Below are 12,672 nucleotides of genomic sequence, written 5' to 3' on the forward strand. Positions count from 1 at the left end.
ACCATGTTGGCCCAGGCTGGTCTTGAACTCCTGGCCTCAAGTGATCCACCAGCCTTGGCCTCCCAACGTGTTGGGAATCCAGGCATAAGCCACCGCACCCAGCCTAGTTTTAAGTTGTTTAACAGTTTTGGCAGTTATTAACAATTTTTTTTTTTTTTTTTTGAGACAGAATCTTGCTCTGTCGCCCAGGCTGGAGTGCAGTGGCACAATCTCAGCTCACTGCAACCTCCACCTCCTGGGTTCAAGCGATTCTCCTGCCTTAGCCTCCCAAGTAGCTGGACTACGGGCGCCCACCACCATGCCCGGCTAATTTTTGTGTTTTTTGTTTGAGACAGTCTTTCTCTGTAGCCAGGCTGGAGTGCAGTGGCACGATCTCGGCTCACTGCAACCTCCGCCTCCCGGGTTCAAGCGATTCTCCTGCCTCAGCCTCCCGAGTAGCTGGGATTACAGGCACACACCACCACGCCTGGCTAATTTTTGTATTTTTAATAAAGACAGGGTTTTCACCATGTTGGCCAGGATGGTCTCGATCTCTTGACCTCGTGATCCGCCTGCCTCGGCCTCCCAAAGTGCTGGGATTACAGGCACGAGCCACCGCGCCCAGCCGACGACAACTATTTTCTTAACGTAACTATAATATTTTCACACTTAAATTTTATAAATTCCTTAATATCAGTTAAACAATCGGTGTTCAAATTTTCACGGTTATCTTTTTTTTTTTTTTTTTTTTCCCAGACAGGGTCTCACTCTGTTGCCCAGACAAGAGTACAGTGGAGTGATCTCAGCTCACTGCAGCCTCGACCTCCCAGGCTCAAACGATCCCCCCATCTCAGCCTCCCAAGTAGCTGGGACTGCAGGTACATGCCACCATACTCAGCTAATATTTAAAATTTCTGTAGAGATGGGGGTTGTCATCATGTTGCCCAGGCTGCTCTTGAAATCCTGGGCTCAGGCAATCCTCCCGCCTCAGCCTCCCAAAGTGGTAGGATTACAGATGTAAGCCACCACACCCAGCCCAGGTTAAAGTTTTTGAAAGGAGTATTTCACAGGTGGTAGTGTGTACTTGAGCACTGTGCTCCTCCTCTTCGGCCTTGTTTCTACTAAAAACCATCCTTGTTACCAACTGATTGTTATTTCTCTTTGAAAATTCAGTTTAAGGTGCTGCCTTCTCCATAAAGCCTTCTCTGATCCCTGGCACTCTCCCCACCTTTCTCACAGCCTCCATGGATATGCTAACTACCCCTCCTTTAGGCTCCCCCAGCACCTGTGCCTGCCTCCATTATTGTTCTTTACCACGTGGCTTAATTCTAGCCAGGCAGCGCGGTGGCTCAAACCTGTAATTCCAGCACTTTGAGAGGCTGAGGTGGGTGGATCAGGGGTTCGAGACCAACCTGACCAACATGGTGAAACCCCATCCCTACTATAAATACAAAAATTAGCCAGGCATGGTGGCATATGCCTGTAATCCCAGCTACTTGGGAGGCTGAGGCAGAATTGCTTGAATGCGTGAGGTTAAGGTTGCAGTGAGCTGAGATGGTGCCACTACACTCCAGCCTGGGTGACAGAGTGAGACTCTGTCTCAAAAAAAAAAAAAAAAAAAACCAAAAACATACAAACAAAAAATTCCTCTGCATTCTCAAATCTTGCTCAGTGTCTGACATACATGACAGCATTCATAAATGTGTGCCAAGTGGAATGAAAAGCCCTTATTTATCACAGAAATTCAAATGGCATAGGAAAAGTTCATAACAAAAAAAAATAATTACCTACCCAGAAAGGGCAGGTGCTCTGCTAAAATTTTCATTAGAACACATACTGAAGGTGTTATTAGAAAACTACATAAAGTATTGAAGTATGGAGTTAACATAAACAAAGACATTCACAATAATACCCTCAGGAATATTAAGTCAATGAGAACGAAAATGCTGAAATTATAGGGAATGAATAAGAGAAATCAGAAAAACAGAGAACCTTGGCTCACCTACAGGATAATCTTTAACCATAGAAAGCTGTCAATTTCACTAATATCAATTTCCATAATAAAATGTAACTTACACATGTATACACAAAAGCAACAAATGTATTTTTATGAACTCTGTGGGATTTCAGAGCACAGAAATGTAATCCAGTTTCTGTGCCCATTTCTGATTTGAGTTCTCACAAGTGTACGCATGAGTTTATTGAGGCTCAGCTGTACAAAAAATCTAGTCATCATACCCAAATGTCATGGGCTCCAACCACTTAAGACTTTCCCCTAGACACCTCGTATTGGGCACCACTCAAAAGATAACATAACCCAGCATGCAGGCAAGTTGCTACAGGTCCTGAGGCAGCTTCCATTTCCTGTGACCACAACCTATTGCTGATGAAGTACTGAGTCAAGACCTGTAAACCTGGGAGGATCACACATTACCACAGGTATATTATTCCTTAGACCCAGGATAGCTGATGGCTGTGTGTGTGTGTGTGTATTTTCTGTTTGTTTGTTTTTGAGACAGTCTTGCTCTGTTGCCCAGGCTGGAGTGCAGTGGCGCGGTCTCGGCTCACTGTAATCTCCGCCTCCCGGGTTCAAGCGATTCTCTTGCCTCAACCTCCCAAGTAGCTGGGATTACAGGTGCCTGCCACCACGCCCAGCTAAATTTTTGTATTTTTAGTAGAGACAGGGTTTCACCATGTTGGCCAGGATGGTCTTGAACTCCTGACCTCATAATCAGCCTGCCTCGGCCTCCCAAAGCGCTGGGATTACAGGCGTGAGCCACTGCATCCAGCCTAGGTGATGGCTATATTTTAAGCTCACTTTTTAAAGATTTTTATTTATTTATTTTAAGACAGGGTCTCACTCTGTTGCCCAGGCTGCAGTGCAGTGGCACGATCATGGCTCATTCATACTTTATGTCTGAAATAAAGTACTCATTTCACATCACTTCCTCCCAAACTCCCTCCACTGATATACTGGTACTCTTCCAGTTCCTTTGTGACAATTTTCCCCAATAACCTCTGCCTCCTCCTCCCACCCCCTACCCCTGTCTTCACACACGCTATTACTTCTTTCATTTGTCAAACCACTACTTATGCTTTGGATCTCTGCTTAAATGTCTCTTCCTCAAAGAAGCCTTCCCTACATGAAAACCCTCACTATTAGATCTGTTATTCTGTTATAATATCTTGTGTTTTTGTTTTTTTAAAAAGCAATTACCAAAGTTTGTAACCATGAATTAGCTCATCTAACTCTTTGTTGAGTCTTTTTCTTTCATGGAATTATAGAAGTTCCATGACAATAAGAACTTTATCTGTCTTGTTCATTACTCTCTCTCCAATACTTAGCACACAGTGCTAAGTGCTAAGATCTTAATAATCACAGAATAATTTTTCCAACATTAAAATGGTCAAATTATTTAAGCCAATATTTCCACTTCTAAGGAAATAATCTGAAATGCAAAAAAATTTTAAAAGATATTTATCCAAATATTAATGTAAGTGTGAAAAACAGAAAATGATTCAATTGTCCAACTAAGGAGAAAGTAAATAAATGATGGCACAGAACAGAATGTTATGTACCCCATTAAAAAAGGCTACTTATAAAAATATTTCAGTAATATGAAAAAAGCAGGACACAGAATTGGGTCTGTAGTATTAGCTCAGTTATTTTAAAAACACACATTTGCAAGAACACTAGAGGGATATAAACCATATACTAACAGTGATTTTCTCTGGGAGATGAGATCCATTAGAATTTGGGCTTTTGCTTTTGTTTTGTTTTGTGTTAGAGCAGGAACTCTATCTGGTATCTATTCTCCAGGGGCCTAGCATAACATGTGATGAATAAGTAAGAATGAGAAATTGATTATCTCTAAGTACTGGAATGAAGTAGGTCATGAAATTCTCTAAGTCACATTATAAACAGAATCATTTAATCAATTGACATGCCTAAGATTGGAGGATTTTCAACTGGGCGACCTAATCTAGAAAATCCTTGAAAACCATGCTTTCTGAGGAATATAATTAACAAAACTCTTTCCTTTCCCCAAGAAATACTGTAATTTGGATCAGAAACTGCCCACTCAAAATTTTTACTTCTCCCAGCAATTAATTAGAACCTCTTGTGCAACATTGTGGCATGAAAGGATACAGTTCGTACCCTTACAGAAAAAAATACATGATCTGTCCTTTATTCCACAGGCTGCACATGTGAAAACAAACTGGTACTTCTTAAATCTTACATAAAGGAGGAGAAAAACCACTGTGAAAGAGGAAAGGCCCTTTTCACTCCCATTTTCCTGCTTACTTTTCTTTACATAGCTCTTCCAATCCTATCCAGCACCTCAGATTACAGACACACATAGAACTGCACCTTTACATCTCTCAGAACAATATCTGAGATCAACAACAACATTTAGAAAATAAAATTTTTGTAAAAGGCAACATTTACAATCTCATTAAAACACACAAAGTGTCTAAAAACAAATCTAACTAAAGATGTGTAAGATCATCACAGAGAAAAATTTTAAAAACCCATTGGGAGGCCTTACAAAAGATCTAAATAAATGTGGAAAATATGTATTTACAGTATAATATTATAAAAATATCAGTTCTTCCTAAGTTGGTTCATAGATGCAATGCAATTCCAATCAAAATCCTGAGTAATTTTATATGGAAATGCAAATGACCAAGAACAGACAAGAATGAAACTCTTGAACAAGAACAAGGTGGGAGGACTTACTTCTCCCATACAACAGGGCTTATTACAGTTATCGTAATTAAAACTGTGAGGGCAGGAATACACAAATAGCCCAATGGAACCAAATAGCAAGCTCAGAAACATACCCACATAGCTAAGTCCTTGATATATGAAAGACGTAGCTCTGTTGATTAGTGGGGAAAGAAGAGTATTTTCAATAAACGGAATCCACTTGAAAAAAAATTAACTTGTGTCTTACCTTATTCCCATATGAAAAATTATTTCCAGAAACACAAGACACAAAACTCATAAACTATAAAAGACTCATATAAATTACATTAAATTTAGAAATTCTTTTTGTGTTTTGTTTGTTTGTTTTGAGATGGGGTCTTGCTCTGTCACCCAGGCTAGAGTACAGTGGCATGATTATAGTTCATTGTAACCTTGAACTCCTGGGCTCAAGTGATCCTTCTGCCTCAGCCTCCTGAGTAGGTGGGACTACAGGCATGAGCCACCATGCCCAGCTCATTTTTTTGAGAGAGGGGGTCTTGCTATGTTGCCTAGGTTGGTCTTGAACTCCTGGCCTCAAGCCATCCTCCCGCCTTGGCCTCCCCAAGCACTGGGATTATAGGCATGAGACACTACACCCAGCTAAATTTAGAGATTCTTAATCAAAAGACAGGATAAAGAGAAAGAAAAAGACAAACCCCAAAGTGGGAGAAGATGTCTGCAATACACTTAAGCAACAACAAACTAGTATTCCGGATATTTAAAGAACTCTTATTAAAGAAAAAAACCAATACAATAGAAAGAGTAGGCAAAAGACTTAACTTGCCACTTCACAAAAGAGGAAATACAGGCCAGGGCCAGCATGGGCTACATAGCAAGACTCTGTCTATACAAAATATAAAAACTGAGCCAGGCATGGTGGCACACTCCTGTAGTCCCAACTACTCAGGAGGGTGAGGCAGGAGGAATATTTGAGCCCAGGAGATTGAGGCCGCAGTGAGCACTATCCTCCAGCCTAGGCAACAGAGCATGACACTGTCTTGAAAAATAAATAAATAAATAAATAAATAAAATAAATATATATATATACACATAAAATAACGGAAAGTGATTTCTTTTACCAATTTTATATATATACATAAAATCATTGGTATATATATAAAATAACTGGTATATATAATTAGTAAAAGAAATCACTTTCCATTATGATATACTGATTCAATGGATGCCAGAACTCCTTGAGCTGAAGCCTAAGGGCTTAGTTCATTAGACAGATGTTTCCAGGCTTCTCCAAGCCCTGGCTAGATAGGATCCACAAGCAGATCAACTTTATCTTTTAGACCTAAGTTCTCAGCCTAGAAGACAGAGGAGTAATATTTTAAAATATACCTTGAAAGTTTTTATCAACGTTTTACAATTAGGCCAGTAAAGATTGGGTTAGCCAAAGGCACCTCCTCTCTTTAAGGCTCCAAGTTCTGTTTAGGAAATGAAGGTGTCGGGACCTTGACTGCCTACTGCCCCACAGGTACCTCTGCTAACCCACTGAATTCCTTTTTTTTTTTTTTGAGATGAAGTCTTGCTCTTGTTCCCCAGGCTGGAGTGCAGTGGCGCTATCTCCCGGCTCACTGCAACCTCCGCCTCCTGGGTTCAAGCAATTCTCCCGCCTCAGCCTCCCAAGGAGCTGGGATTACAGGCGCCTGCCACCACGCCCGGCTAATCTTTGTATTTTTATTAGAGACGGGGTTTCACCATGTTGGCCAGGCTGGTCTCAAACTCCTGACCTCAGGCGATCCACCCACCTCGGCCTCCCAAAGTGCTGGGATTACAGGCGTGAGCCACCACGCCCGGCCATTTTTTTCTTTTTTTTTGACATGGAGTCTTGCTCTTGTCACCCAGGCTGGAGTGTAGTGGTGTGATCTCAGCTCACTGCAACCTCCCTCTCCCCAGTTCAAGCGATTCTCCTGCCTCAGCCTCCCAAGTAGCTGGGATTACAGGCACCCGCCATCACGCCCAGCTAATTTTTTAGTAGAGGAGGGGTTTCACCATGTTGGCCAGGCTGGTCTTGAGCTCCTGACCTCAAGTGTTCCACCCACCTCGGCCTCCCAAAGTGCTGGGATTACAGGCGTGAGCCGCCGTACCCGGCCACCACTGAATTTCTATATGATACATGCTTCTATGTGAAACAGATCAAAGAAGTACATTTCTCACTCCACTCTCTCAACACACGGTACACCCATTCATGAAAAAGCACCTCCTCTAACTCTAGAATTTATTCTGTTCTAGAACTCCACACTTTCCAATTTCACAATCTTCTCAAAGATTTTTCATTTCTGCTCCTATCATTACCTCCCAAACAAATGACCATGCAAAAACCTACTGTAAAATACAACAATCTTCTTACCAGCCTCTTTCCTCCAGAGCTGAATGCTGGAGAGTAACAAAATTTAAGAGGTAGGCAGAGAAAGATAGCAAAAGCTCTGAATGGCAAAGGGAGTCGCTGGAAAGGTAGAGTTTAAAAAGCCGGAAAAAGGTAAGTCGTAGATATCCGTGGAGGAAAAGTTTCAAGTCTGAGGGAGAAGCCAACCATGTCAAATGATGCAAAGAGGTCAAGTAGCATAAAGACTAAAGAGGGCTTATTTGATCTGCAACAAAAAGAACACAAATTACTGTGGCAATGGCAGTTTCTGAAGACAGGTAGTGACAGAAGCCATAAAGCAGTTGAGTCTCTGGGATATGAGAAAGTAGAGAAAGCAATGACTGTAAACTATTCTTTCAGGAGCTTAAACACTAAGGGAAAGTTAGAGTTGCTGGGAAAGATTTCAGTTAATTTATATGCTAAGTGGAAACACTTCAGAGAAAAAGGCCGAAGATACACAAACACCTTGGGTCCAACAGCAACAGCTGCCTTCTACTCCACTGAGAAAACAGAGTTCTTACCTGTAGTGGAACAAACATGTAAACCATTCATTGATTCATTCAATAAATATTTATTGCCAGGCGCGGTGGATCACGCCTGTAATCCCAGCACTTTGGGAGGCCGAGGCGGGAGGATCACAAGGTCAGGAGATCGAGACCATCCTGGCTAACACGGTGAAACCCTGTTTTTACTAAAAATACAAAAAATTAGCCTGGCGTGGTGGTAGGCACCTGTAGTCCCAGCTACTCGGGAGGCTGAGGCAGGAGAATGGTGTGAACCCAGGAGGCGGAGCTTGCAGTGAGCCGAGACTGTGCCACTGCACTCCAGCCTGGGCGACAGAGTGAGACTCCATCTCAAAAAATATATATAAAATAAAATAAAATAAATAAATATTTATTGAGTGCCTATTATGATCCAGGAGTTGGGTATATGCCAGTGAACAAAATAAAGTTTCTGCCCTCAGGAAATAACTATTAAAGAGGAGAAAATAGACAATAAACACAAACACACACATATACACACACACACAATGACAGATAATAATAAGGGCTTTGAAGAAAAAGCAGGATCAAGAGTAACAGGAGGTGCTATTTTAGAGAAGACAAGCAGGGAAGGCCTCCCTGAGGAAATGACATTTGTGCAGGAACTTCAATGAAAGCACAGCAAGTACAAGGCCCTGGGATAGGAATAGGTTTGATGTGTTCAAGAAATAGCAAGAAGTCAGTGTGCCTGGGAGCTAAGGGATAAGGGTAAGAAATGATGTGAGAGAGAGGCTGGGCATGGTGGCTCACGTCTGTAATCTCAGCATTTTGGAGGACAAGGTGGACGAATAACTTGAGGTTAGGAGTTCAAGACCAGCCTGGCCAATATGGTGAAACCCCATCTCTAATAAAAATAATTTAAAAATCAGTCTGGCGTGGTGGCGTACGCCTGTAATCCCAGCTACTCGGTAGCTCAGGAATGAGAATCACTTGAACCCTGGAGGCAGAGGTTGCCGTGAGCTGAGATCATACCACTGCATTCCAGCCTGGGTGACAGGGCGAGACTGTCTCCCAAAAAAAAAAAAAAAAAAGAAAAAGAAATGATGTCAGAGAGAATACCAAGGCCACATCATAAGTACTATGATTTCATCATAAGCCTCACAGGAAAGCATTGAAGAGTTTTGAGAGTAGCGTAGCAGTGTCTGATTTCAGTTTTCAAAGGCTCACTCATTGCTGAGTAAAGAATTCCAATTACAATATAGGGTGATGAAGTAGGTTGATAAAGGGCAACAGGGCACAGTGGCTCATGCCTGTAATCTCAGCACTGTGGGAGGCTGAGGCCAGGGGCAGAGGGGATCACTTGAAGTCAGGAGTTCGAGACCTGCCTGGCCAACATGGTGAAATCCCGTCTCTACTAAAAATACAAAAATTATCCGGGCATGGTGGCGCATGTCTGTAATCCCAGCTACTCAGGAGGCTGAGGCACAAGAATCACTTGAACCAGGGAGGCAGAGCTTGCCGTGAGCCGAGATCACGCCACAGAACTCCAGCCTGGGTGACAGAGCAAGACTCCGTCTCAAAAAAAAAAAAAAAAAAAAAATTGGGAACTGGGAAAACCAAAAGAGGGGCATCTAACACTAAATATGAGTTAGGAAAGGCTTCAAGAAGAGTGAGAGAGAGAAAGCGTATCCCAAATGGAGGACACAGACGTAGAAAAGAAATAGGGGTTTTGAAAAGCCTTGACATTTATTTACACCAGCATGGGACAGAAAATATTGTATAAAAATATACCATTTAAGGCCGGGCCTGGTGGCTCACATCTGTAATCCCAGCACTTTGGGAGGCCAAGGCGGGCGGATCACAAGGTCAAGAGATCATCAAGACACCATCCTGGCCAACATGGTGAAACCCCATCTCTACTAAAAATACAAAAATTACCTGGGCGTGGTGTTGCGCACCTGTAGTCCCAGCTACTCAGGAGGCTGAGGCAGGAGAATTACTTGAACCTGGGAGGCGGAGGTTGCAGTGAGTCAAGATCGCGCCACTGCACTCCAGCCTGGCAACAGAGTGAGACTCTGTCTCAAAAATATATATATACCACTTACATCTACAAAAAAAAAAAAAATTATATCCAGGAACAAAACTAATATTTGTATGACTTTTCTGGACACATTCACAAAACTCTGTAAGACATTAAAGAAAACCTATTTAATTGAAGAGATAAAACAAAGTAATGGATAGGAAGACTCAATATTTAAAAATGTGTATTTTCCCACCCACTGTTTCTGTTTGTTTTTTTTAAGAGACAGGGTCTCGCTATGTCTCCCAGGCTGGAGTGTAGTGGTGCAATCATAGCTCACTATAATCTCAAACTCCTGGGCTCAGGCAATCCTCAAATGTCAGTCTCCCAACATGCTGGGATTACATTCTCCCCACTTACCTATAAACAACATATTTCAAATAAAAATCCCAGCGAGTATACCAAAAGACACATACAAGAATTCCATAGCAGCATAATTCATAATAGCCCCAAAGTGAAACAACCTAAACATCCAGGAACAGTAAAATGGAAAAATAAATTGCATTTTATTCATACAATGAACTGATTATACAGCAATGAAAATAAACTCTAGCACACACAATTCAACATAAACAAATTTCAAAAACAAAAAGAAACCACCAACAGAATACACACTGTATGACTCCATTTTTATAAGGTTTAAAAACTAACCACAGTGTTGAAAATCAGGATGGTAGTTTCCTTTGAGCAAGGGGAAGGGAGTATTGATTGGGAAGAAGCACAAGGTGGGGAAAGTTCTGGACTACTAGTATTTCCTCACTAAGCAGTAGTTACTAACAGGTGTACTCACTTTGTGATAATAACAACACTTATAAGTTGTGGGTTATTTTGTATTTATGTTATACTTCCATAACAGGAGTACTAGTGTCTGCAATTTACTTCAAGATACATCAAAAAAATTAGATTGAGGGCTAGGTGTGGTGGCTCACGCCTATAATCCCAGCACTTTGGGGGGCCAAGGAGGGCAGATCACCTGAGGCCAGGAGTTTGAGATCAGCCTGGTCAACATGGTGAAACCCTGTCACTAAAAATACAAAAATTAGCCATTCATGGTGGCACATGCCTGTAATCCCAGCTACTCGGGTGGCTGAGGCAAGAGAATTGCTTGAACCCGGGAGACGGAGGCTGCAGTGAGCCAAGGTCGCATCACTGCACTCCAGCCTGGGCAACAGAGTGAGACTCTGTTGCAAAAAAAAAAAAAAAAAAAATTAAATTTAAAGATGAGATTGATAGATATCTGTGTTATAAAGCAAGTTTTATAAAATGTTACAGGTAGAATCTAAGAGATGGGCACGCAGGTATTCACTGTAAAGTTCTTCCTACTTCTTTTTTTTTTTCTTTCTACTTTACGTTTAAATTTTTTCATAATAAAATGTTGGAGGTAAAAATCCCAAAGGGTTTTTTTGTTGGCAGAACTTGGTAAGGCAATTCTAAAATCATGGAAAATTAAAAGGGTAATAGCCAAGACAACTTTGAAAAAGAAAAAGGTAAGGAGATACGTGTCCTAACAGACAGAAAGACTAATTATTAGGCAATAACTAAAATAAGGTAGTACTGACACAGAGATGGACAGAGAGACCAGTCAAAGAAAAGAGAGCCTAAAAACTAACTCATGCACAGACAGAATACAGCAGGCATTAAAGATCAGTAGGAAAAAGTAGAACTATTCACTAAGTGGGGATTAACAGCTTGAATTAGAAGAAAATACAGAATATCTTTAACTTACAAGGAAAATGAATACTGAACAACAAATTACTGAAGAACACATAATTTTCTCTCATATATAGGTTTAAAACATGAGAAACAACATTATATATTGCTTAAGAATATATTCACATGGGTAAATAATACAGACATATTTGGCAATGAAATACCAAATTCAAGTTAGTAGTTTCCTCCAGGGGTAATGAAGATTTACGCAAAGTACATAAGTTGGGTGGTATTTGAACACACAATTTTCTATATTGTTCTTTATCCATTTTTTCTTTTTTCTTTTTTTTTTTTTTTTGAGACGGAATTTTGCTCTTGTTGCCCAGGCTGGAGTGCAGTGGCGCGATCTCGGCTCACCGCAACCTCTGCCTCCCAGGTTCAAGCAGTTCTCCTGCCTCAGCCTCCCTAGTAGCTGGGATTACAAGCATGTGCCACCATGCCTGGCTAATTTTGTATCTTTAGTAAAGACGGGGTTTCTCCATGCTGGTCAGGCTGGTCTCGAACTCCCGACCTCAGGGATCCGCCCGCCTCGGCCTCCCAAAGGCATGAGTCACCGTGCCCAGCCTCTTTATACATTTTCTCAAATCTTAAATATTCCATAACAAATTATAGATTTTTTTAATTAAAAAAAGGTTGAGGTATGAGTACATGGTTTTTAAACAGTACTTAACACAGTTTAATGGGCTGGAACAAATACTAGGAATAGGGGAATAAGAGAAGATGTTAAAAGAAAGAGACCAGATTCTGCAAAGCCTTATAAAACATGCCAAGAAATTTATTCACTTATTTATTATTTGTTTGTTTGTTTGTTTATTTGAGATAGAGTCTCATTCTGTCGTCCAGGCTGGAGAGCTGTGGCACAATCTCGGTTCACTGCAACCTCCGCCTCCTAGTTCAATCGATCCTCCCACCTCAGACTCCCCAGTAGCTGGGTCTACAAGTGTGTGCCACCAAGCCCAGCTAATTTTTGTAGTTTTAGCACAGACAGGGTTTCACCATGTTGGCCAGGCTGGTCTCTTAACTCCTGACCTGAGGTGATCTGTGCACCTCGGCCTACCAAAGTGCTGGAATTACAGGCCTAAGTCACTACACCCGGCAAGACATTTATTTGGTTTTTGTTTCATCCCACAAGGCAATCACTGAAAACTTTTAAGCTAGGAAGTCCTAAAAGATTACTCTGACAAGGCTATACGATAGAGTATGTTTCCTAATGACAGAGGCTTGTTTACCATTTAATCCCTAATTTTAGCATAGTTTATAATACATTGATATTAATGAATATATATGCTGAATTAAT

General features: G+C 41.3%; 1 protein-coding gene across 3 annotated transcripts in view; it reads right to left on the reverse strand.

Annotated features, from left to right (window-relative positions):
• Nucleotides 1-12,672, reverse strand: part of MRTFA (myocardin related transcription factor A) — a 226,431-nt gene that overhangs the window by 128,907 nt on the left and 84,852 nt on the right. The gene's annotated exons all lie outside the window — the stretch shown is intronic.

Source organism: Homo sapiens, chromosome 22 (assembly GCF_000001405.40).
Source record: "Homo sapiens chromosome 22, GRCh38.p14 Primary Assembly".
NCBI classification, from domain to species: Eukaryota; Metazoa; Chordata; class Mammalia; order Primates; family Hominidae; genus Homo; species Homo sapiens.